At 38.8% G+C, this 27,510-nt stretch overlaps 1 long non-coding RNA gene across 1 annotated transcript; it reads left to right on the plus strand.

Annotated features, from left to right (window-relative positions):
• The first annotated feature begins 1,175 nt into the window (after positions 1-1,175).
• LOC107985096 (uncharacterized) lies at positions 1,176-20,041 on the plus strand. Its single transcript, XR_001738168.2, has 3 exons — positions 1,176-1,477; positions 19,229-19,349; positions 19,859-20,041. It is a non-coding gene; the product is annotated as an uncharacterized LOC107985096 (long non-coding RNA).
• The last annotated feature ends 7,469 nt before the right edge of the window (positions 20,042-27,510 follow it).

The following is a 27,510-nucleotide window of genomic DNA, read 5'->3' on the forward strand; positions in this document are numbered from 1 at the left end:
CACATGTTCTCACTCATAGGTGGGAATTGAACAATGAGAACACTTGGACACAGGAAGGGGAACATCACACACCAGGGCTTGTGGTGGGGTGGGGTGAGGGAGGAGGAATAGCATTAGGAGATATACCTAATGTAAATGACAAGTTAATTGATGCAGCACACCAACATGGCACATGTATACATATGTAGCAAACCTGCATGTTGTGCTCATGTACCCCAGAACTTAAAGTATAATAAAAAAAATATATATATAAAAATTAAAAAAGAAAATAAATACTAATTAAAAAAAGAAGTAAAAATTGCCTTGCTGAAAAATTTTGTGTTTGAGTGCTATTTCTTTGCAGCACTGAGGAACAAGCATTTTACTTCTCACAATCGAGGAGCAAGCATTTTGTTTCTAACATTACCAGTAATGACTAATTGTAGCCAGTAAATTTTTGTTAACTACAGTAACCTTATTGTCCTACCAAACCCTAGGTCTTATTTCTTCTATCTAATTGTATTTCTGTAGCCATTAAACATCCCATTTGAATCCTTTCTTCCTCATTAAACTTCCCAGCCTCTGGTAACCATCATTCTATTTCCATGAGTTTATTTATTTAGCTTCCATATATGAGTGAGTGCAGGCAATATTTGTTTTTATGTCTGGCTTACTCCACTTAACATAATGTCCTCCAGTACCATCTACGTTGTTGCACATGACATGACAGGATTTAATTATTTTTAAAGCTAAATAATATTCCATTGTGTATATATGTATCACCATTTATTTATCCATTGACCTGTTAATAGGCTTTAGGTTGATTCAATATTTTGGGTATTGTGAACAGTGTAGCAATAAACATGGGAGTGCAGGTATCTCTGTAGGGGGCTGAAGGCCTGTGGGTCATGACCAACTCAGCATTCTGCTGGAGGCTATATGATCAAACAGCAAACTGTTTATCATGAATGCAGGATGTGGGAAAACTCACGACTGCTCCTGCCGCCAGAAGGTATGCTGAGTGCAATCACTCCCTGGTGCCATGCTCCTTGATGTTATCTACTGGAACATCTGGAGACTACTGTTCAGAGAGTGCAGTCATGCAAGCCTGCACCAAATCAAGCAGCTGACTGACAACCACTCCCTTCTCCCTATCTCCTTTACTCAATAAATACAAAGGGAGCTAAAATCTCAGGGCCCATGTTCACTAGAAACAAGGAGCCCCCTGACCCCTTCTTCCAAACATACTCTTTTGTCTTTATGTTTATTCCTGCACTCGTCCCCCTTTGTTCAGTCCAACAGGGATTGGGGCTGCGTCAAAGTGGTGCCTGAACAGGGACTTCAAGGACGCGAATGAAGAAGGTCCGTTGGAGCAGAGGAAGTGAAACTGACAAGATGAACGGGGACCTCGGGAGGAGTCTGCCAACAGCAGATATAAGGACAGTGCCCTAAAGAAGTACTGTTCAGTGCCCTAAAGAGGTACTGGGAATGATATAAGGTCAGTGCTGGAAAGAAGTACTGGGAGTGAGAAGTTTTCTGAATCAGGGTAACATGGGGCATAATTAGTCTGTTGAAGAAAATCATTATGTGCAGTTGCTTCAAGTTCTGTTGAGACAGTCTGGAACTCAGGTTAATTTGCAGACACTAACTAAGCTTCTGCAGGAGGTTATTATGCATAACCCATGGTTTCCACAGACAGGCAGTTTTGATGTGGAAAATTAGGACAGAGCAAGAGAAGGATTAAAATGGCCTCATCAAAAAGGTCTTAAAGTTGATCCTTCTGTTTCCTCCACTTGCAGTTTAGTTTCTACTGTCCTTCTGCCATTGTCTCCTTCTTATTCTGCTGGACAGCAGGAGTCATGTTCTGAGCCTAAAAATCTGAAAGAATCTGCTGTTAAACAGCACCAATTGAAAATAAAAATAAAAAAAAACAGAAAAGGGAGGATAAAAATTGGCCTATACCTCCCCCTCCAATAGCAGAAACATCTGTACCGCCTCCTTTGGTAGCAAAAATAGGGACACCAATACAAAGAATTTTAGGCTCTGCTGCCATAGCTGGAGAGCCCTTAGGATGTTGTGCTTTTCTTATTTCCGTAAGGCCTGATCCAAATAATCCACAGCAGTATACTTATAAACACACCTCATTAGAGTTTAAGTTATTGAAGGGATTAAAAGCTAGTATAGTTAATAGTGGAGTAAAGAGTCCATTCACTTTAGAATTGCTAGAATCTGTGTTTGGTGATATGTGCCTTCTACCCTTTGATGTAAAACATTTGCTCAAACTTGTTTGTCTGCTAGTGCATATCTGACATGGAATTTAAATTGACAAGAAATGTGTGCAGACCAGGCTAGACAGAATTGTGCTGCCAGACAGGAAGACATTACAGAGGATATGCTGTTAGGTAATGGCCCTTATTCAGACCTAGAACATCAAATGACAATCCCAAATGCTGCTTATCAGCATTGTGCACAGACTGCTAAATGTGCCCGGGCCACAATTCCAGAAGAGGGAGTTCCAGTACACTCCTTTGTATGTATCATGCAAGGGTCATAGGAGCCCTATGCACATTTTCTCACAAGATTACAAGAGGCAGTGAAGCTTCAGATTCCTCATACCACTCATGCAGAAATGCTAACCTTAACTTTAGCTTTTGAGAATGCAAACATGGATTGTAAATGTGCACTGGCACCAATGAGGTGTACAACAAACTTAGGAAATTTTCTCAGAGCTTGTCAGGATGTAGGAACTGAGCTTCATCACTCTGCAATGTGAGTGCAAGCAATGACTAATTTAGCAGTTGACAAATCTAAAAAGAGCCAAGGGTCAAATTCTAAAATGGGAAAATGTTATAACTGTGGAAAAACTGGACATTTAAAAAGGAATGCCACAAGATCTGAGGACAGCAAGGATTTTATTATGTAGTTCCTCCACCCCACAGCAGAAAAAAATACCAGGACTCTGTCCTCGCTGTAACAAACGAAATCACTGGGCTAATCAATGCTGCTCAAAATTTCATCAAAATAGCACCCCCCTGTCGGGAAATGAGAAGGGGGCCTGGACTCAGGCCCCACAAATAATGAGGGCATTCCCAGTCCAGGCCACTACCCTGTTTCAGGATTGGGTCCCAGGAGAACCATTGATTCCCTCACCCCAGGAACACCAGGAAATGCAAGATTAGATCTCCTAATCAGAGAAAGAATTACATTAGTTGGAAGAGACAAAACTACCAAAGTTCCCACTGGCATTTGCGGACCTTTACCAGCAGGACTAATTTCAGGCAAAAGCCCCTTAACTTGCAAGACATTACTGTAGTCCCAGCAGTAGCTGACTCTGATTATGAAGGAGAAATTCATGTAGCTTTAATGTCACAAAATCTTTAGGTTTTTGAACTGGAAGAATATATTGCTCAACTATTGCTTATTCCCTGCAAATTACACCCTTCTCCATGAAAGGAGAAATGAGGAAATGAAGAGTTTGGAGCACAACTACATGAAAAATCTATATATCCCAACTCATAGCCTCTAATAGACCCATCTGTGTAGTATGAATTAAAGGATGTGGAGAAATAGGAATGCTTTTACACTGTTGGTGGGACTGTAAACTAGTTCAACCATTGTGGAAGTCAGTGTGGCGATTCCTCAGGGATCTTGAACTAGAAATACCATTTGACCCAGCAATCCCATTACTGGGTATATACCCAAAGGATTATAAATCATGCTGCTATAAAGACACATGCACACGTATGTTTATTGTGGCACTATTCATGATAGCAAAGACTTGGAACCAAGCCAAATGTCCAGCAATGATAGACTGGATTAAGAAAATGTGGCACATACACTTCATGGAATACTATGCAGCCATAAAAAAGGATGAGTTCACGTCCTTTGTAGGGATATGGATGAAGCTGGAAACCATCATTCTCAGAAAACTATCACAAGGACAGAAAACCAAACACTGCATGTTCTCACTCATAGGTGGGAATTGAACAATGAGAACACATGGACAGAGGAAGGGGAACATCACACACCGGGGCTTGTGGCAGGGTGGGGGGAGGGGGGAGGGATAGCATTAGGAGATATACCTAATGTTAAATGATGAGTTGACGGGTGCAGCACACCAACATGGCACATGTATACATATGTAACTAACCTGCATGTTGTGCGCATGTACCCTAAAACTTAAAGTATAATAAAAAAAATCTGTAGTTTAATAGCATTGTGCCTATGGTAGTTTCTCAGAGATAAGTGCATTGGTTATGTAAGATGTTAACATAGGGGAAACTGAATGAAGGGTATATGGAAACTGTACGATTTTTTTCAAATCTTCCTAACACGATCTTAAAATAAAAAAAAAAAAGAATTAAAGGAAAGAAATTTTATGGGCTTATGGACACAGGAGCTGATGTGTCAGTAATATCCTGTAAGGACTGGTCCCCCAGCATGGCCTCTCAGACTAACCTCCACATCCTTAGTGGGAGTAGGAGCAGTTCAACGTGTTCAAAAGAGTGCTGAGATTTTACCTTGTCTTGGTCTGGATGGATAATCATGTACTTTCTAGCCTTATATTGCAAATATAAGTACAGCATGGGATATGAGACTTACAAATAAAAACTTTGATAACCCAGGATTTAAAATGTTGAAGACATGGGATATTAGAGTGGAAAAGGTTTAGGGAAATTCCTACAAGGAAACTCTAACCTGGTATCAATACCTGGAAAGACAGGTTAAACCATGCAAGGAGATTCTTCATTAAATTCCCCGTGGCAATTGAGCAAAGAGGCCAAAGCAGAGTTACAGCTTATAGAGCAGATGTTTCAATAACGACATTCCTCATGGCTACAGCCACACCAACCTTTGCTTTAGTTTGTTCTTCCTACCCCCCACTCTCCAACAGGACTTCTAGGCCAATGCTTAGACATATCTGTAACAGTAATAGAATGGCTCTTTCTACCTAATCAAACAGTCAAAACCTTGCAAGTCTATCTTTCTTTAATTACACAAATTGTGACAATAGATAAGCATAGGTCAAAGATGCTTATGGGATAGGATCCAGACAAAATTATTGTTCCCTTAGACACTTAGCAACAGGCCACAGCTTGGGAAATGTCAATTGCATGGCAAATCACTTTTGCAAACTTCTTGGGAATAACAGACAACCACTAACCCTCAGACAAAATTTTGCAGTTTTATAAAGTCCATTCTTTAATTCTTCCTGTGATTACTCATCACAAGCCTATTTCAGGTGGCCAGACTTATTTTACTGATGGCTCTTCCAAAGGTCATGCAGTTATTTATGGACCTAAACATACTCAAACAATAATGACCTCTGGGGTTTCAGCTCAGAGTTAATTGTAGTCATTCAGGTTTTACAGCTCATAGCTTTAGATCCTATCAACATTGTCTGTGATTCAGATTTTTTTTAAATGTAGCCAGTCGCATAGAAACTGCTGCAATTAAATGTACCCTAGAAACAGAACTGCTTGTTTCTAAGACTTCAACAAGCTATTCCCTCTTACATAGCTCCTTTTCATATTTCTCATATTCACTCTCACACAACTTCCTGGACCACTATCTCTAGGTAATGATAGAGCAGATAAATTGATTGGATCTGTGTTTCAGCAAGCTCAAGCCTCTCATGCGCTACTGCACCAAAATACTTCTGCTCTTACTCGCATGTTTCACTTGTTTTGCAGCAAAGCTAGGGCTATAATACAAGCCTCTTCTACTTGCCAGCAAGTCCCTGGAGCCACACCTGTAGAAGGCTGTAACCCACAAGATTTGGCTCCAAATGAAATCTGGAAAATGGATATTACACATATCGCAGCCTTTGGCAAGCTTAGCTATGTTCATGTGACTATGGACAGTTATTCTCATATGCTGCATGATACATGCCAAACAGCTGAGACAGCTGGTCATGTACAGCGACATTGTCTGTCATCATTTGCTCACATGGGGATTCCTAAACAATTAAAAACTGACAATGGACTTGCTTATACTAGTTAGTTTTTTCAAAATTTCTTACAGCTTTGGGCTATAACCCATAAAACAGGAATTCCTTATAATCCTAGAGGACAAGGCATTATAGAGCGGGCACATCAAACATTAAAACGTATGTTGAATAAACAGAAAGGAGGAATAGGAGACCATTTACCACCTCAAACAAAACTATATTTAGTCTTATTTACTTTAATTTTTTTGACTCCTGATACGGATGGTAAGACTCCAGCAGAAAGACATTGGAAAGTGTTAGAGGAAAAGAAAAATGTTTATCCAAAAATGTATGGAAATCCCCGGAAGAAGGATAATGGAAAGGTCCGGTGGATTTATTAACGTGGGGATGAGGGTATGCTTGTTTTTACAGGAGATGGACAAACTGTATGGGTGCCCTCAAGGTTCATGCGACCATGGGAGACTGGAGAAACCCTGGGTGGCCAACCATGGGCCTAGTCCCTCTTGTACAAGCCATGAGCCAGCTGAGCCTGAGTGCAAAGACAGAGAGAAGGCCAACTGGAGTCACGATGACATCAACCACCATAAGCTGGGGGCAAGTCAAGAAAACCAACAGAAAGCTGAGAAACTACTGGAGCATCAAGGCCAAGCAAAAACCCCTGATTCCATGTTCTTGGCCATGTTAGCCACAATGTCCTGTGCAGTATGTTTTCCCTGTGCAGAGGCAAAAGCATATTGGGCATATGTTCCCAATCCCCCAGTAGTATGAACTGTACTTTGGAGTGACACTCCCCTGAGATCTATCATGATCAGGGAGCATGGACTCCAGGACCCCTAACTCCCCCTGACACAGAACAGTTAGACTCTCAGAACAATGTCATTAATTATACTGCCCCACAAGAAGGACTCCCCTTGACACTACAAAGATGTCACTCAACCATAGCTGTCTTTATAATTCAAGCTCAAGAATGGTTGAGTCGCTATGGAAAAGTCATGTACCTATTAAGTCTTGGTTGTATTAATGTAATTGGTATGCTAACCAACCATTCCCAGTCCAATCACTCCAATTGTGCTGACTATATGGAATGGATTCCCTTCGATAGTTTCTACCCTGCTCCATGGAAACAGTGTCTTGGCCCATTGGCTGGAAAACAACCTATGTTAACTGGAGACATTGTGGATTGGCGACCTAAAGGTCAACTATATGGAAAAGATGAAAACCAGAAATCATGCCACAAACTTCACTGGCATTAGTGGCAAACTTTTAATGCTGCTTCTTTATACTACACTGGGATCCAATCCCAGTCTGCTGCCCAGATTGCTTGGCAAAAGCAGGCTTTAGCCTGCCTCTTCCTCAGTGGCATCATCTAGGGAGGAAAGGACCAGTCCAAGAGACACTATGGAAGGCAGCACTCCCATTTATGAATGGCAGCATCTAGGTTGGGATACTATGCAATAATAGCAATAGTAAGCAACACAGTCTTAACCTTACATTTGTAAAGAATATCACCACTCAATTTATGATTTTTGTTTTTAATCCTTATGACTTTTTGGCAGCTAAGAAGGACCAGCTCCAGGTAAACAATACCCAATTGAACTGTAAATCTTGCCAGTTATATCACTGCATTAATCATAGCACATTGCAAACACATAATATCTCTACTTAATAATTTTGGGTTGCATCCCTGGGCTATGGATTCCCATTAATCTGTCCAAGCCTTAGGCTGCCATCCGTGCTTTGCACTTCGTGAAACTACTTCTAACTCAGCCTTCTCATCATGCCCGTAGAGCTTTAGGCATGATAATATTTGCTATTGTTTCCTTGGTCACACTAATAACTTCTGTTGTGATGTCCTCTGTAGCTTTGCATAGTTCTGTTCAAACGGCTCAGTACATAGAGAACTGGACACATACAGCCAACCAAGTGTGGCTACTTCAGAATAAAATTAACACTGAGTTACAAACTGAAGTGGCTATGTTGAAATCCACAGTTCTAGGGTTAGAAGAACAAGTATAAATCTTACAATTGCAACAGCAATTGTGCTGTTATTTTAATCACACTCATATTTGTGTAACCAACTTAGAATATAACCAAAGTGAGTATCCACGGGACCTTGTGAAAGCCCATTTGCAGGGAGCTTTCACACCCAACATCACCTTTGATATTGGCAAATTACAAAACAGAATTCCTTATTTAAGTAAGCAAACTCAAGAGTTTCAGCCTTCTTTAGAAGACTGGATAGAATTCCAGCAAGGCCTGAAGAACCTAAATCCTTGGACCTACATAAAGCACCACATTAACATCTCATATGCAGTTCTTGGAATAATGTTGTTTTGTCTCTGTTTTCTGTTTGTAGTCTGTAAAATCAGATGGACTGCCAATCAGAAAATGAGAGCTGTCCAGCCTGGCCTTACATTCATTCAATTAATACATAAACAGAAAGGGGGAAATGTAAGGAGCCAAAGGCATGTGGGTCACGACTAACTCATCATTCCACTGGAGGCAATATGATCAAACAGCAAAATGTTTATCATTAATGCAGGGTGTAGGCAAACTCATGACTATTCCTGCCGCCAGAACGTATGCTGAGTGCAATCACTCCCTGGAGCCATGTTCCTTGAGGTTATCTACTGGAACATCTGGAGACTACTGTTCAGAAAATGCAGCCATGCAAGCCCGCACTGAATCAAGCAGCTATCTGACAACCACCCCCTTCTCCCCTTCTCCTTTACTCAATAAACACGAAGGGAGCAAAAAGCTCAGGGCCCTTGTTCACTAGAAGCAAGGAGCCCCCTGACCTCTTCTTCCAAATATACTATTTTATCTTTATCTTTATTCCCACATTCGTCCCTCTTTGTTCAGTGCAACAGGGATTGGGGCTGCATCATATCTCTTTAATATACTGATTGCTTTTCTTTTGGATATATACCAGCAGTGGGATTGCTGGATTATAAGGTAATTCTATTTTTAGCTTTTTGAGGAATCTCTTTACTGTTCTCTGTAGTAAGATACATTCCTACCAACAGTATATAAGGGTTCCTCATTCTCCACATCTTCACCAGCATCTGTTATTACCTGTCTCTCAGATAAAATCCAGTTTAACTGGGGTGAGATGATATCTTACTGTAGTTTTGATTTGCATTTCTCTGATGATTAGTAATGTTGAGGACTTTTTAATATACTGGTTGGTCACTTGTATATCTTCCCTTAATAAATGTTTATTCAAACCCACTTCAAATTATACTACAATGCTATATGAGTCATAACAGCATGGTAGCATAAAAACAGACACATGAACAGAATAGAGAACCCAGAATTATATGCATTTACAGTTAACTTATTTTGTGACAAAAGTGCCAAGAAGGCCAGGTGCAGTGGCTGACACCTGTAATCACAGCACTTTGGAAGGCCAACGTGGGCAGATCACAAGTTTAAGAGTTTGAGACCAGCCTGACCAACATGGTGAAACCCTGTTTCTACTAAAAAAATACAAAAATGCTTGGCATTGTGGTACGTGCCTATAATCCCAGCTACTCAGGAGGCTGAGGCAGGAGAATAGCTTGAACCCGGGAGGTGAAGGTTGCAGTGAGCTGAGATTAGACCATTGCACTCCAGTCTGGGTGACAGAGTGAGACGCTGTCAAAAAAAAAAAAAAAAAGTCCAAGAAAATACACTGGGGAAAGGACAGTCTCTTCAAATTTTTCTGGGGTTGCTGACTATCCATATGCATAAGAATGAAACTAGAATCCTATCTTATGCCATATGCAAAGGTCAAAGCAAAAGGAATTAAAGAGTTAAATCCAAGGATTGAAACTAAGAAAACATTAGATGAAAACTTTGTAGAAACACTACAGGACATTGGTCTTTGTGAAGATTTCTTGAGTAAGATCTCAAAAGCTCATGCAACCAAAGCAAAAATGGACAAATGAAATTACGTTAAGTGAAAAAGCTTCTGCATAGCATAGGAAAAAAAAAAAAGCAAAGAGACAGCTCACAAAATGGAAGAAAATATTTGCAAACCATCCATCTTATAAAGGATTAATAATCAGAATATATAAGAAGTTCAAACAGCTGAATGGGAAAAAAAATCCCAATTTAAAAATGGGCAAAATTTTTCTTTTATGGATCATGCTGCTTTTGGAATCATGTTTAATAACTTGATGTCCAGCCTCAGATTTCAAAGATAATCTTCCATCACATTGTTTCTAGACCTGCTGTGGGCCTGAAGGGAACCCAGTGGTCTGAAGGGTGAGTCCCAGGCCAAGTACAATTCACCACAAGCTGACTGAAGAGTCCTTGGGCCTTAGGGGAATATTGGCAGTAGTCTCACAGTACTCTCTGTGGGTCTGTGGCAGCAGTGGCTAAGGGGTTAGGCTCCTCTGCCTTTCAAAAGGGGAGGAAAGTGTGGGAAGGATTCTGTCTTGTGGTTTTAGTGCCAGCTCAGCCATAGTATAATAGAACATCAAGGACCTCTTCAGTACCTTGGGGAGCTCACTGCCCTAAACGGAAGGACACAGTCTTGGCTGGCTTTACCACCTGGGAAGATTGTAGAGCCCTAGGGCCTTAAATAAACGTAGGCAGTAACCAGAAAGTGGTTACAGCAGGCCTTGGCCAAGGCCTTGGCCAAGACCCAGTGCTGTGCTGGCTTTAGATCTAACGAAGTGAAATTCTAGTGCTGGTGGCCACATGGATGCTTGTGTTACTCTAGCCCCAGCTTCAGGTGGCTCAGAACAGAGAGAGAGAGGCTCTTTTTGGGGAAAAGTAAGAGAAGAGAACAAAGGTCTTTGCCTGGTAATCCATATAATTCTTCTGGGTCTTTTTCAAGGCCATCAAGGCAGGACTTCTATGAGTTTGCAAGAACCACAGCATTACTAGGCATAAGGTAAACCCTAAAACAGATATAGCTTAGGTTACAACTCTCAAGTCAATCTGAATATCTGAAAAGCCTTCCCAAGAATGACAAATACAGAGAAACCCAGACAGAGAAGAATACAATAAATGTCTAACTCTTCAATGGTAACACAGAGACAAACATCTGTAAGTATCAAGACCATGAAGGGAAACAGGACTTCACCAAATGGACTAAATAAGGCACCAGGGGGAGAAGCTGAGATATGTAACCTTTCATACAGAGATTTCAAAATAGCTGTTTTGAGGAAATTCAGAGAAATTCAAAATAACACACAGAAAGAATGTAGAATTAAATCAGACAAATTTAACAAGAAATTGAAGTAATTAAAAATAATTAAGTAGATATTCTGTGGCTGAAAAATGCAATTGGGATACTAAAGAATATATCAGTCTTTTAATAGCTGAACCGATCAAGCAGAAGAAAGAATTAGTGAGCTTGAAGACAGGCTATTTGAAAATACAATATCAGAGGAGACAAAATAAAAAGATTAAAAATGAAGCACATCTACAGCATAGAAAATGCCTTAAAACAGCAAATCTTAGAGTTATTGGTGTTAAAGAGGTGGTAGACAGATAGGGGTAGAAGGTTTATTCAAAGGGATAATAAGAGAGAACTTCCCAAACCTAGAAAAAGATATCAATATTTAAGTACAAATAGGTTGTAGAACACCAAGCAGATTTAACCCAAAGAAGACAACCTCAAGGCATTTGATAATCAAACTCCCAAAGGTCAAAGATTAAAAAAGGATCCAAGAAGCAGCAAGAGAATGGAGATCCAATATTTTTGGCACCAGTTTTTCCATAGAAGAAAACCTAACAGGCCACGAAAGAGTGGCATGACGTATTTAAAGTGCTAAAGGAAAAAAAATTAAAAGCTTACCCTTGAATAATATATCAGGCAAAAGTATGCTTCAAACATGAAGGAGAAACAAAAGGTGAGAAACATGAAGGAAAAACAAAAGGTGAGAGATTTAATTAACACCAGACCTATTCTACAAGATATTCTCAAGAGAGTACTTCAATCAGAAAGAAAAGGACATTAATGAGCTATAAAGAAATCATCTGAAGCTACAAAACTCACTGCTAATAGTAAGCATGCAGAAAAATACAGAATATTATAACACCGTAATTGTAGTGTGTAAACTACTCTTATCTTAAAAAGAAAGTCTAAAAGATGAACCATTCTAAAATAATAACTACAACAACTTTTCAAGACATAGACCATAAAATAAGATATAAATAGAAACAACAAAAAGTGAAAAAAATGAAGGATAAAATTAAGGCGTAGAGCCTATTAGTTTTCTTCTTGCTTGTTTGTATGTTTGTTAGTATATGCAAAATATTTTCAGTTGTAATCAACTTAAAATATGTGTTATAAGATAGTATTTGCAATCCTCGTTTTAACCTGTAACCAAAAAACGTATAGCAGGTGCACAAAAAAATAAAAAGCATGAAACTAAATCATATCACCAGAGAAAATCACCTTTACTAAAAGACAGAAAGAAAAGAAAGGAGGAAGAGAAGATCAGAAAATGAATAACAAAATGACAGGAATAAGTTCTTACTTATCAATAAAATGGCAGGAATAAGTTCTTACTTATCAATAATAAAAGTTCTTACTTATTATTAAGTTTATTATTAATACACTTAATAATAATTTAATAACTTAAATGTAAATGGACTAAACTCACCAATCAAAAGACATAGTGTGACTGAATGGATAAAAAAAGAAGACCCAATAATCTGTTGCCTACAATAAATATACTTCACCTATTAAGGCACACATAGACTGAAAATAAGATGAAAAAAGATATTCCATACCAATGTAAACCATAAAAGAGCAGTAATAGTTACACTTATGTCAGAGAAAGTGGATTTCAAGGCAAAAAGTAAAAGGAAAGGAAAAGAAGGTCACTGTATGATGTAGTTTGGATGTGTGTCCCCACTCAAATCTCATATTGAAATGTAATGCCTAATATTGGAGGTGGGGCCTGGTGGGAGGTGAGTGGATCACGGGGGCAGATTTCTCATGAATGGTTTAGCACCATTTCTCTTGGTACTCTCTTGGCAATAGAGAGTGAGTTCTCTTGAGATCTGGTCATTTCGAAGTGTGTAGCATGAGACGTCTCCCCTTGCTCTCTTGCACCTGCTCTGGCCATGTGACATGCCTGCTTCCTCTTTGCATTTGCCATGATTGTAAGTTTCTTAAGGCCTCTCCAGAAGCCAAGCAGATGTCAGTATCATGCTTCCTATACAGCTTGCAAAGTCGTTAGCCCACTAACCCTCCATTCTGTATAAATTACCCAGTCTCAGGTATTTCTCTATAGCAATGCAAGAATGGCCTAATACAGTATATAATGATAAAGAGGTTAATTAAGCAATAAGATAACAACAATTATAAATATATATGCACCCAACACTGGAGCACCCAGATATATAAAGCAAATATTATCAGAGCTGAAGAGAGAGATAGGCCCCAATATCATGATAGCTGGAGACTTCAACACCCCACTTTCTACAACGGACATACTTGGAGCACCCAGATATATAAAGCAAATATTATCAGAGCTGAAGAGAGAGATAGGCCCCAATATCATGATAGCTGGAGACTTCAACACCCCACTTTCTACAACGGACATACTTTCCAACAGAAAATCAACAAAAAAAATCGGATTTAATCTTCACTATAGACCAAATAAACCTGATATTTACAAAACATTTCATCCAATGGCTGCAGAATACACATTCTTTTCCTCAACATATGGATCATTCTCAAGGATAGACCATATGTTAGGTCACAAAGCAAGTCATAAAACATTCAAAAAATTAAATAATAGCGAACATCTACACTGACCACATTGAAAATCAATAACAAGAAGAATTTTGGAAACTATACAAATAGTTAGAAGTTATACAACATGGTTCTGGATGACCAGTGGGTCATTGAAGAAATTAAGAAAGAAATTGAAAAGTTTCTTGAAACAAATGATTATGAAAATGCAACAAACCAAAACCTATGAGATACAGCAAAAATAGTACTAAGAGGAGTTTATACCCACAAGTGCCTACATCAAAAAAGAAAAAAAAAAAACTTCAAAGAAACAATCGACTTATGTGTCTAAAAGAACTAGAAAAGCAAGAGGAAACCAAACCAGAATTAGTAGAAGAAAAGGCATAATTAAGATCAGAGCAAAAATAAATAAAATTAAAGAAAAACAATACAAAAGGTAAATGAAACAAAAAGTTCGTTTATTTGAAAATTTAAACAAAATAGACAAACCTTTAGCCAGACTAAGGAAAAAAATAGAGAAGATTCAAGTAAATAAAACCTGAGATGAAAAAGGAGACATTAGACATTACAACCGATACTGCAGAAGTTCAAAGGATCATTAGTGAATACTATGAACAACTATATGCCAATAAATTGGGAAAAAAATTAGAAGAAATGGACAAATTGCTATACACATACAACCTACTAAGATAGAACCAGGAAGAAATCTAAATTCTGAACAGATCAATAACAAGTAACAAGATCAAAGCCATAATACAAAATTTCCCACTAAAGAAAAGCCTGGGTCCCAGTGACTTCACTTCTGAATTCCACCAAATACCTAACTAATAACATCCTACTCAAACTATTCCAAAAAACAAAGGAGAATAGAATACTTTCAAACTCATTCTGTGAGGCCCTGACACTAAAACCAAAAACACATGAAAAAAAAAGAAAAGAAAACTACAGGCCAATATCCATGATGAATATTGATGCAAAAATCTTCAACAAAATACTAGCAAACCAAATCAAATTAAACAATATATTAAAAATACTATTCATTATGACCAAGTAGAATTTATTTCTGGGATGCAAGGATTCTTCACCATATGCAAATCATCAATGTGATACATCATATCAACAGAATGAAGGACAAAAACAATATGATCACTTCAATTGATGTTGAAAGAGCATTTAATAAAATTCAACATATTTTTATGATTAAAAACTCTCAAAAAACTGGATATAGAAAAAATATATCTCAGCATAATAAAAGCCACATATGACAGACCCACAACTAGTATTAAACTGAATGGGGAAAAACTGGAACCCCTTTCTCTAAAATCTGGAACATGACAAGGATTCCAACTTTCACCACTGTTACTCGACATACACTGGAAATACTAGCTAGAGAAATCAGATGAGAGAAATGAATAGAAAGCATTCAAATTGGAAAGGAAGAAGTCAAATTATCCTTGCTTTCAGGGATATATTTGGAAAAACCTTGACTCCATAAAAGAACTGTTAGAACTAATAAACAAGTTGAGTAGTTGTGGGATACAAAATCAACATTCCAAAAATCAGTTGCATTTCTATAAGCCAATAGTGAACAATCTTGAAAAGAAATAAAAAAAGCAATCCCATTCACAATAGCCACATATAAAATTAAATACTTAGTAATTAACCAAAAAAGTAAAAGATCCCTATAATAAAAACTATAAAACATTGATGAAAGAAATTGAAAAGGACACCAAAAAATAAAAAGATATTCCATGTTTATAGATTTCAAGAATCAATATTATTAAAATGTTCATGCTATCCAAAGCATTCTACAGATTCAGTGCAGTGCCTATCAAAATGCCAGTGATATTCTTCACAGAAACAGAAAAAAAAATTCTAAAATTTATATGGAAACACTAAAGACCCAAAATAGACAAAAGTCTTCTAAGCACACAGAAAAAGAAAACTATAGGAATCACGTTACCTGACTTCAAATTATACTACAGAGCTATAGTAACCAAAACAGTATGGTACTAGCATAAAAACAGACACATAAACCAAAAGAATAGAGAATCCAGAAACAAATCCACACGCCTACAGTTAACTCATCTTCAACAAAGTTTCCAACAATGTACATACAATGGAAAAAATACAGTCTCTTTAATAAATGGTACTGGGAAAACTGAATATTTCTATGTAGAAGAATGAAACTAGAACTCTACCTCTTTCTGTATGCAAAAATCAAATTAAAATGGATAAAAGGCTTATATCTAAGAACCCAAACTGTATAACTACTATCAGAATACATGGGGGAAACTCTCCAGGACATTGTCCTGGGCAAACATTTCTTGCCCAGTACCTCACAAGCACAGGTAACCAAAGCAAAAATGGACAAATGGGATCACATCAAGTTAAAGAAGACTCTGTACAGCAAGGAGAAACAGTCAACAAAGTGATGAGACAACCCACGGAAGGAGATAAAATATTTGCAAACTACCCATCTCACAAGGGATTAATAAACCAAATATATAAGGAGCTCAAACTCCATACAGAAAATTCAATAGATTTTAAAAATCAGTAAAATATTTAAATATGTATTTCTCAAAAGAAGACATACAAATGACAAACAAGCATATGAAAAGACATACAACATCACTGATCATCAGAGAAATGTAAATCAAAACAATGAGATATCATCTTATTCCAGTTAAAATGGCCTATATCCAAAAGACAGGCAACAAATGCTGGCGAAGATGTGGGGAAAAAGGAACCCTCAAACACTGTTGGTGGCAATGTAAATTAGTACTACCACTATGGAGAACAGTTTGGAGGTTCCTCAAAAAAAAATCTAAAAATAGGACTACCATAGGATCCAGCAATTTCACTGCTTTGCTTACATCAAAAAGAAAGGAAACCAGTATCTTGAACAGACATCTGCACTTCCATGTTTGTTGTAGCACTGTTCACAATAGCTAAGATTTGGAAGCAACGTAGGTGTCCATCACAGATAAAGGGATAAAGAAATTTAGTACTTATACACAATGGAATACTGTTCAGCCATAAAAATGAATGAAATCCTGTCATTTGCAACAAGATGATTGGAACTGGAGGTCATTATGCTAAGTAAAATAAGCCAGGCACAGAAAGACAAACATTGCATGTTATCACTTATTTGTGGGATCTAAAATTCAAAACAATTGAACTTATAGAGAGTATAAAGATGGTTATCAGAGACTAGGAAGAATAGTGAGGTGATGATGGGGAGGTGGAGATGGTAACGGATAGAAAAAAAATAGTTAAAAAGAATGAATAAGACCTAGTATTTAATATCACATTAGGGTGACCATAGTCAACAATAATTTGATTATTGGTTTTAAAATAAGTAAAAGAGTATAATTGGATTATTTGTAACACAAAAGATAAATGCTTGGAGGGGATGGATACCCCCTTTTTACATGATGTGATTATTATGTATTGTATGCTTGTAATCAAAGCTTTCAGGTATTTCATAGATATAGAAGCCTACTATATACCCACCAAAATTAAAATTTTAAAAAATGAAAACATAAATATAAAAGATAAGTTCCTTTCTTTTTTCTTAAGTTTTACAGTTTTACATTTCATATTTTAGTCAATCATCCAGGAGGAGTTAATTTTGTATAAGATATGAGATGTAGCACAAGTTTTATTTATTTATTTGCAATTGTTTCAGCATCATATGCTGAAAAGGCTATCTTCCTCCATTGGATTACTTTTGTGCCTTTATCAGAAATTTATTGGGCAAATTTGTGTCTATTTCTGAGTTCTCTATTCTTTTCCATTGATCTATTTGTCTAGTCTCCCAATACCACACACAGTGTTGATTACTATAGTGAAAAATGTCTTGCAATCAGAAAGAGCAGTTGTCCCACTTTATTCTTATTTTTTTTCAAAATTGTTTTAGCTATTCTAGTGGCTTTGGCTTTCAATACACATTTTAGAGTAATCTTGTACACACCTGCAAAAAATCTTGCTTGGATTTTTACAGGAACTCAATTAAACTTATATATCAATTTTTGAGAATTGAGAACTTTATTGATACTTCAATACATGACTACAGTATTTCTCTTCATTTTTATAAATAACCTTTGATTTTTTTCATCAGTGTTGTGTAGTTTTCAGCTTACAAGTCCTGTACAGGTTTTGTTATGTTTACACATGAATATTTTATTTTTAGCAGTTATAAATGGTACTGTATTTTCAATTCTGATGTCTATGTGTTTATTGCTAGTATACAGCAATAGATTGCTGTTACATTAATCTTGCATCCTTCAACCATGTTGAATGCATTTATTAGTTTGAGATTTTTTACTTTTTATTTTTGTAGATGCCTTTGGAATTTCTACATAGACAACCAACTTATCTGCAAATAGGAATGGTTTTATTTCTCCCTTTACAATCTCTGTATTTTTGTACCTCTCTATTCTCTCTTCTTGTAAGGACTCCAGCCATATTGGATAAGAGTCCACCTTAATCATGTATAAACTCAACTTAACTTGAATTCATCTGCAAAGACAATATTTCCAAATAAAAGCACATTCTGAGGTTCCAAGTGGACATAACTATTTGGGAGACACTATTTGTTCTGTAACACTTGGGTTTTCTTTCTGCCTCATATATTCCAAATTTGGAGTTGAAGAAGCTGGCAACCCAGAAATGCCAACAGACATGGACATAAAAAGTCCAAAGAAAAGTTTATTCGCTCTACGTACAGGGCCAGAAAAGGAGGAGCCTAGCAAGGCCAAAAATTTTTACATAGTAACTGCACTACTCCAACTGAAAACAGGTGGTGTCACCTTATTGACATCAAGAAAGACTCAGTGAGGATCACACACTTCCATCCTTGTGAGGCTGTAACAAAGCTCCCTACATCCCTGCAAGGATGATAGCAGACATAGCCACTGAAGATGCTGGGACTTTCATTTCCACTGTTGGCAGTGAGCTCTTCCCTGTGTTATCAATAGAAATCAATGGGAAGCCTAAACTTCTGCCCCTAATTGGCAGGAAAGTAACAAGGCATCCCCTTGTCTCTACTGGAGTGGTGGCAGAGGCCCATTAGGAAGTCAGGACTTTTACCCTTGCCCAGGAGTAATCAGGTCACTCCCACTGTGGTATTAATGGAGACTTGGTGGGGGAAGCCAAACCCCATCCCTGTTGTAAGGCCCCGTACTTGACTGATCTGCCTTTTTCTTTTGACTTTTCAGAAGAGTTTTAAAAGACTTTCTTGTTTATCTAACTTCCTCTCCAACACGTTCAATAAATCTTTAAAGGGGATTTAGTAAAAAATAAAATGTAGTGAATTGAATGTAACATCCTTTCTAGATCAGCACAGGCGGTTGTGTGGGGCATGGTTCCAGTCCAAGGGCACAATCCTCAGAGCCCTTGAAGCTCAGTGTTTCAGAGTCTAGGAGCAGTCAGTTTATATACTATGCTGTTGTCTGTGTTCTTATGTTCTTGGACAGCCCAGCCCTCCAGGAAGATGGTAAGGACAGAGAGAGTAGTCTGAGAAGTTGTCTCTACATTCTTCAAACCCTTACACAGGAACCCAGGAGAGTGAGCATCTCTCTGCTTTATTTCAGGGCTGAGCTCCAGATTTCAGAGGTTTCTTTATAAACATCAGTAATTTTTTGAGTTTGACAAGATCACAGCAGTGCCATGAAGCCATCTGAAGCATCGAGGCTCAGGTTACCTCTTTGGCATGTAAGTCAGATGTCCTTCATGATGTTCTTTGCCTCTGACACAAATTCTTTCCACATTCCTCTTCAGATATTCAATGTGGAGCTATCTCAACCAGGGATGAGCCATCCTCAAATTATTAATGACTTCATTTGCAAAATATATTTTCTTTATGATGCCATTGTATAAGATCAAACCAGAGAGGAGATCCTAAATACAGGCGAGCTTTGATAAAGATTTTACTTTGACAGCATCTTCACTTGGTTCGTGACTGCCTTCGCTATTCTGGTTGAAAGAGTGTAAGCCATCCCATAATATAGCCTGTTTTACCTTTTTTGTTATTTCAATTACTTCTCATGAGATCTGACTCCGTTTCCACAATAACTGGCTGATCTGCCCAATTTCTACTGGATTTATTAATATATCATAATTTCTGCTTTTCTTTTGGAAAACAAATTTCTTCTCTGATCAATATTTCTTAATATTTATCCTCTTTTGCTGCTTTTGTTAAAAATATTTGTCCTCTGTTTTAGGGCTCAAATGCCTACAAGGACCAATGAAACTGGAGCAACAAATATAAGCAAAACAACAGCGAGTGCAAGAGGACACAGCAAATTAGAGAATGCATGCCCCTATCTAACAGATGCGGTGGGCACTTTTCATTTTATCAGATTCTCCAAATTTTCAAGAGAAGCCAGAAATTCAGGCTTTTAGAGGTTAGCATCTAAATAAAAAGTTAAAAAAATAAAAGGTGTATGTGACCACACAACATAGGTCTGAGTGCCAGATTTGGCTCTTTGGTCACCAATTAAAGACTTCTATTACACTACAATCTCTTTAATGATTTCTACAAAGGGTTCTAGGGGTTTTCATGCAAATAATTCTCCCGTGGCTCATAGTAATATCCCTTAGCGGCTTTGGAAATCAGAACAATTTAGGCCAACTTATGGTGGAATCATGTCTCATGTAGTTTTTCAGCTCCATCTGGCAAACAGCTCCCCCTGGCTCAAATAATCATTGTCCAACTGACTGCTGGCAGTAGGGCAGGACTCCCTCAAAGAGTAGGACATGGGATATCTGCCCAAATCACTCTGTCTTGGGAATGAGTCTGTCTATACTGAATAGTTTATTATGCCTCAAGTTGGTATATTGCTGTGCAGCTGCCTCTGCAGTGGCAGCTGAATGCATCTGTCACACAGAATCTGCAGCCATTAATACTATTGTTATATTAGGCACTGGGATTTTATTTCCCTCAATACTTTATTTCATTGAACAATATTGAATTTTCTTCTGCCAAAGTTGAGTTGTGAGACTAAATCGTCAGCAGATGTTTTAAATTGTTCTGTTAATGATAGCTTGTTTCTCTTTCTGGTATTGTTTTATCTCTGAAGTATTGCTTTGGGTTTTCAATTTTGGTGGACAGATCTGTGCTTCTCCTCACTGCAGAACTTTAAGCAAGTCTCTAAGGCATGTCTTACTATTTTATTTCTTATTCTTAATGTGTCAGGCCAGGTTGGGCAGCAGCCTGCAGGAGCTGCAGTCTGTTTAACAGAAAGTTTCAGAACTACACTACAGAACTTTTTGGTGTGGTGAGAGGAAGAGGAAAACATTCTCACAGCAATACTCCAAAAAAAAAAAAAAAAAAAGGAAATTCTACTCAGACTTTTGGTCTGCCAAGATTTTTTCCACTAGATTCATGATGTAATCATTATGTTCCCTTTCTTCATGCACTTTCTCTCTCTCACTGCCATTCAGATGGAAATTTTCTACATAACTTGGGGGTCTCAAAGATCATTTACCCACAGACACCCTCCTGGGCTACTAATGAACATTAGAGCCACTGAGATAAATTACCTCATGTCCTTCTGAGAGGTGACAACGTGCTAGCAGCCCTCCCTCGCTCTCAGCGCCTCCTCGGCATGGGCGTTCACTCTGGCCATGCTCAAGGAGCTCTTCAGCCCACCACTGCGCTGAAGGGGCCCCTCTCTGGGCAGGCCTAGGTCGGAACCGGCTCCCTCTGCTTGAGGGGAGGTGTGGCGGGAGAGACGCAGGCGGGAACCGGGGCTGCGCGCAGCGCTCGGGCCAGCGCCAGTTCCGGGTGGTCACGGGCTCAGCGGGCCCCGCACTCGGAGCAGCCGGCTGGCGCCAACGGCCGCGGGCAGTGACCAGCTTAGCACCTGGGCCAGCAGCTGTAGAGGTTGCGCCGGGTCCCTCAGCACTGCCGGTCCGCCCGCGCAGCGCTTGAATTCTCGCCGGGCCTCAGCCACCCCGCCATGGGGCAGGGCTCGGGACCTGCAGCCCGCCATGCTCGAGCTTCCCCCACCCTTCATGGGCTCCGGCGCCCACCGAGCCTCCCCGATGGGCGCCGCCCCCTGCTCCAGGGCGCCCGGTCCCCTCGACCGCCTGGTCCCATGGACCGCCCAAGGCTGAGGAGTGCGGACGCGCGGTGCGGGACTGGCGGGCAGCTCAGCACACAGGATCTACTAGGTGAAGCCAGCTGGGCTCCTGAGTGGGGTGGTGACTTGGAGAACTTTTATGTCTAGCTAGAGGTTTGTAACCACACCAATCAGTGCTCTGTGTCTAGCTCAGGGATTGTAAATGCACCAATCAGCACTCTGTGTCTAGCTAAAGGTTTGTATACCCACCAATCAGTGCTCTGTGTCTAGCTAATCTAGTGGGGACTTGGAGAAATTTACGTCTAGCTGGAGGATTGTAAATACACCAATCAGCACTCTGTGTCTAGCTCAGGGATTGTAAACACACCAGTCAGCACCCTGTCAAAATGGACCAATCAGCTCTCTGTAAAATGGACCGATCAGCAGGATGTGGGTGGGGCCAGATAAGGGAATAAAAGCAGGCTGCCCGAGCCAGCAACAGAGACCTGCTCAGGTACTCTTCCACTATGTGGAAGCTTTGTTCTTTCACTGTTCACAGTAAATCTGCTGCTGCTCACTCTTTCAGTCTGCACCGCCTTTATGAGCTGTAACACTCACCGTGAAGGTCTGCAGCTTCACTCCTGAAGCCAGCAAGACCACGAGCCCACCGGGAGGGAGGAACAACTCCGGACAGGAGGAATGAACAGCTCCAGACGTGCCACCTTAAGAGCTATAACACTCACCATGAAGTTCTGCACCCTCACTCCTGAAGCCAGTGAGACCACGAACCCACTGGAAGGAAGAAACTCTGAACACACCCAAGCATCAGAAGGAACAAACTCTGGACACACCATCTTTAAGAACTGTAACACTCACTGCAAGGGTCCGCTGCTTCATTCTTGAAGTCAGTGAGACCAAGAACCCGCCAATTCCAGACACAGAATTCAACTGTAAATCTGTCTTATCTTATCTTGGGCCTTTTTTGCGTGGTAGGCTATTTATTACTGCCACAATCTCAGAACTTGTATTGGTATATTCAGGGATTCAACCTCTTCTTGGTTCAGCTTTGGGAGGGGCGGGTACATGTCCAGAAATTTATCCATTTCTTCTAGATTTTCTAGTTTGTGTTGTTAGAGGTGTTTATAGTATTCTCTGATGGTTTGTATTTCTGTGGGGTCGATGGTGATATCTCTCTTATTTCTGATTGTGTTTACTTGACTCTTCTTTCTTTTCTTCTTTATTAGTCTAGCTAGCAGTCTATCAATTTTATTTTTTTTTTCAAAAAAACTACTTCTATATTCACTGATTTTTTTTTTAATGATTTTCCATGTCTCTATCTGCTTCAGTTCAGCTCTGATTTTGGTTATTTCTTGTCTTCTGCTAGCTTTGGGATTTGTTTGTTCTTGGTTCTCTAGTTCTTTTAGTTGTGATGTTAGGTTGTTAACTTGAGATCTTTCTAGCTTTTTGATGTGGGCATTTAGTTCTATAGATTTCCTTCTTAACACTGTCTTTGCCACGTCCCAGAGGTTCTGTTACATTGTGTCTTTGTTCTCATTAGTTTCAAATAACTTCTTGATTTCTGCCTTAATTTTATTGTTTATCGAAAAGTCATTCAGGAGCAGGTTGTTCAATTTCCAGATAATTGTGTGGTTTTGAGTGAATTTCTTAATCTTGAGTTCTAATTTGATTGCTCTGTGGTCTGAGAGACTGCTTGTTATTATTTCAGTTCTTTTGCTGAGGGTGTTTTATTTACAATTATGTGATCAATTTTACAGTAAGTTACATGTGTCAATGAGAAGAATGTATATTTTGTTGTTTTGGGGTAGAAAGTTCTGCAGATATCTGTCAGGTCCTCTTGATCCAGAGCTGAGTTCAAGTCCTAAATATCTTTGTTAATTTTCTGTCTCGATTATCTAATATTGACAGTGGGGTGTTAAAATCTCCCACTATTCTTGTGTGGGGGACTAAGTCTCTTTGTAGGTCTCTAAGAACTTCGTTCATGAATCTGGGTGCTTCTCTGTTGGGTGTATTTAAGTTTAGGATGTTTAGGTCGTCTTGTTGAATTAAACCCTTTACCATTATTTAATGCCCTTGTTTGTCTTTATTTTCATCTTTGGTGGTTTAAAGTCTGTTACGTCAGAAAATAGGATTGCAATCCTTGCAATTTTCTGTTTTTCAATTGCTTGGCAAATTTTCCTCTATTCCCTTATTTTCAGCCTATGTGTGTCTTTGCATGTGTGATTGGTTTCTTGAAGACAGCACATCGATGGGTCTTGGTGCTTTATTCAGCTTGCCATTCTCTGTCTTTTAATTGGGGGATTTAGCCCATTTACATTTAAGGTTAGTATTGTTATGTGTGAATTTGATCCTGTCATCATGAGGTTAGCTTGTTACTTTGTAACAGAGTGGGGTCACACTATCACTCACCACTTCCCTTGGCTTGGGGTGGTGGTTCCTTGGGCTCTGTGCCACTCCTGGGTGGTTTGTCACCCCCCTCCTTTTCTTTATTTTCCATGGGTCAAGTTGTTCACCTAGTTATTCCCAATGCAAGAACATGGATATTTCCATTGAAGGTGCTGAATTCACTCACCCCTTTTCATTTCTCTTTGTGAGTGCTGCGGACTGCAGCTGCTTCTAATCAGCCGTTTTGTTCCTACATCTGGCCTATCTTTGAAGTCTCAAAGGTGAGGAATAGGTCTGTCTCATTCACCACTGGATATCCAAAAAAAGAAGTAAAAGAACATATGTCATAGCTGCATCCATACACTTTTGTACACTTTTACTCCTATTTTATTTTTAATCTCATATACTTCATTAACATTTAGCACCTGTTTGTTAATCACCATTTTATAGTTGCACAGAGCAAAACAATCCAATTTACTCTCGAAATTTAGTAATTGTTAGTCACCTTTTTCTTTCCTGCTGCATGTGTTTCCTCTCCTCATATCCAAGAAATAAGAATAGGGAACATAACTAGTTTACCTGTTACTAGCTTAATTTTGAGTGATACACACTGAAAGCAAAATCTTGTGTTATGCATTTGGAATGTGAGATCCAAAAATTTTAAGTTCCTAGCAATTTAATAAAACTCTCTCTTTTTTAAGAATGTAGGGTTATTGCTTAACACTAATGTCTTTTATCTACTCAAACAATATTTACTTAATACCTAGTATTCTAGGCCTGCTGTAACAAAGTACCACAAACTGAGGCACTTATACAACAGAAACTTGTGTTCTCACACTTCTAGAGGATGGAAGTTGACAATTGAGATATAGACAGGCTTAGTTCATTCTGAGAGCTGTGGGAGGAGGATCTGTTCCAGGCCTCTCTCCTGGTTTGTAAATGAATGTCTTCTTCCTGTGTCTCTTCACATAGTTTTCCCTCTATGTGTATCTGCCTCTGTGTCCAAAGTTCCTTTTCATAAGGACTTCAGTCATAGTGGATTAGGGCTCACAATTATTACTTTGTTTTAACTTGATTATCTCTTTAAAGACCTTGTGTCCAAATAAAATACATATGAGATACTGGGATTAAGACTTGGATGTATGAATTTTTGTAGGATACAACTCAACCCATAACATACCTATTATATCATTAGAAGTGATTTTTAAGCTGTGAGGGATACACATTTGTACTCTTTTTGGGTAGACTAAACTAACACTCATTAAACAGCAGTATATGACATAAACAACTATGCAACCAAGGGCTGAAATTAAGTAGACCTCATGTTTGTACTGTAGGAGTTCAAAAATAAAAATAGCAATATGCATTAGAGTAATCAGAAAACATTTGAGGCTTTAATAAAAACAAAAGTTTAATAGAAATAAAGTTGAATAATAAAAATAGAATTTGGGTAAGTATGAAAAAGAAAAAAAGCATTTAAGTTAGAGGATATGGGTAAGAGCACAGAACCAAAATGGAAGGCATAGTCATGTCAGAGTGAATAGATACTCTGACTCAGGGAGAAGGAACACATTGAGGAGAAACAGAAAAGATTAAAAAAATAAAGCTTAGGCCAGATAGAAGCAGTTTTTGGATATTAAATATGTAAAAATTTTTTGAGTATGAGATTGACAAAGATTATGATAGAATCCAGATATCATCACAATCTTTCACTACTTCCAATATTCGTACATTTTGCAATAGAACTTTTCAGCTCCTCCCATTCAGAGGTAGATACTATTATTTCTTTTCTTCTAGTGAATATGATGGCCTGTGACTTGTTTTTCCAATAGAAAGTCTGCTAATTAACAGTGAAGCAGTTTTGACTCTTGTCCTCAAATGAATGGCTGTGTACATGTCTCATTATCTTTCTCTCTCTCCCTTTCTCTCTTTTCCCATTGTGATACCATTTGAAGAGATGTGGTCTAGCCTGCTGCCATGTGAAGGAAACCCACACAGGCAAGGGCATTCTTTATTGCTGGCCTCTAGTTGATCAACCAATTGCCAGCAAACACATGAACAAGCTGAACCAAGGTCAGCTAGTTTGGTTCAGGCCAGAACAGCCTCCCATCCAGCACAAAGACTTCATATTTAAACCACAAAGTTTTTCAATTGTTTTTTAGGCAGCATTATTGTGGTAGAAGAGAAAACAAACTGTAACATTTTGTTACAATAGGTAGATAGTCAGGCATGAGAAGAGAGCAGGAGAAGGCTCCTCCCAAAACCCCTGCTCCACCTCACCAGCCACACACACACCAGGAATGTCAGTGGACCATTTGGTGATGGTCAGGAAGTTGTTAAACTGTCTCACTAAAGTAATAATTAGTCCCAGCTGGTGCCAGGGAAAGGCAGTCTCCCAATAGATTAAAAAAAGCTGAAACTGTTTATCAGCAGTTTCCCAGTAAGAGCTCAGGAATTGGGCAAGTTGGCTCAAGCATGTGCACTAAGAGGCAAAAGGTTGAAGTTTAACTGGTCTATGATCTTCCTCTAGGAATGGTAACTGATAAGGGAAGAACACTTCAAGTGAGTGTGCACAGAACTCCAGTAAACAAATTGTGCATGTGGCCCCTCCCAAGTGCTAACAGGCCACTGTGTATGTGGATAGCCCACCTCAAGGGAAGAATCAGGCGAGAAGGGACACAAGACCTCAGAAGCATACCAACATATAAAACCCTAAGTCAAGGGTCAAACTGTGTACAAGTCACCCACTTGTCCTTCTTCCAAGTGTACTTTACTTCCTTTCAGTCCTACTCTAAAGTTTGTTAGTAAACTTTCACTCATGCTCTAAAAGTTGCCTTGGTCTCTCCTTCTGCTTTCTGCCCCTCAGTCAAATTATTTTTTCCTGAGGAGAAAAGAATTGAAGTTGCTGCAGACCCCTATGGATTTGCTGCCAGTGACAATCTGAATAATTGAAGGAAAATAGATCGGACAGCAATAGTGGTGTGCATTGAAGTATTTGTGAGCCTATTTGGAAGTGAAGGTAGATGATTACAGTAAGGAAGAATATATAGGAAATTGATTTAAGAATGAACTCAGACTAGAATACTAATAATTTAGTTTTACAATGAAAGAGTCATAAAAATATTATGAAGAGAAAACTGAAAAACCTTGCAAATAGAGGATTATAAATCATGCTGCTATAAAGACATAGGCACACATATGTTTATTGTGGCACTATTCACAATAGCAAAGACCAGGAACCAACCCAAATGTCTATCAGTGATAGACTGGATTAAGAAAATGTGGCACATATACACCATGGAATACTATGCAGCCATAAAAAAGGATGAGTTCATGTCCTTTGTAGGGACATGGATGAAGCTGGAAACCATCATTCTCAGCAAACTATCACAAGGACAAAAAAACCA

Source organism: Homo sapiens, chromosome 1 (genome assembly GCF_000001405.40).
Source record: "Homo sapiens chromosome 1, GRCh38.p14 Primary Assembly".
In the NCBI taxonomy this organism is placed as follows: Eukaryota; Metazoa; Chordata; class Mammalia; order Primates; family Hominidae; genus Homo; species Homo sapiens.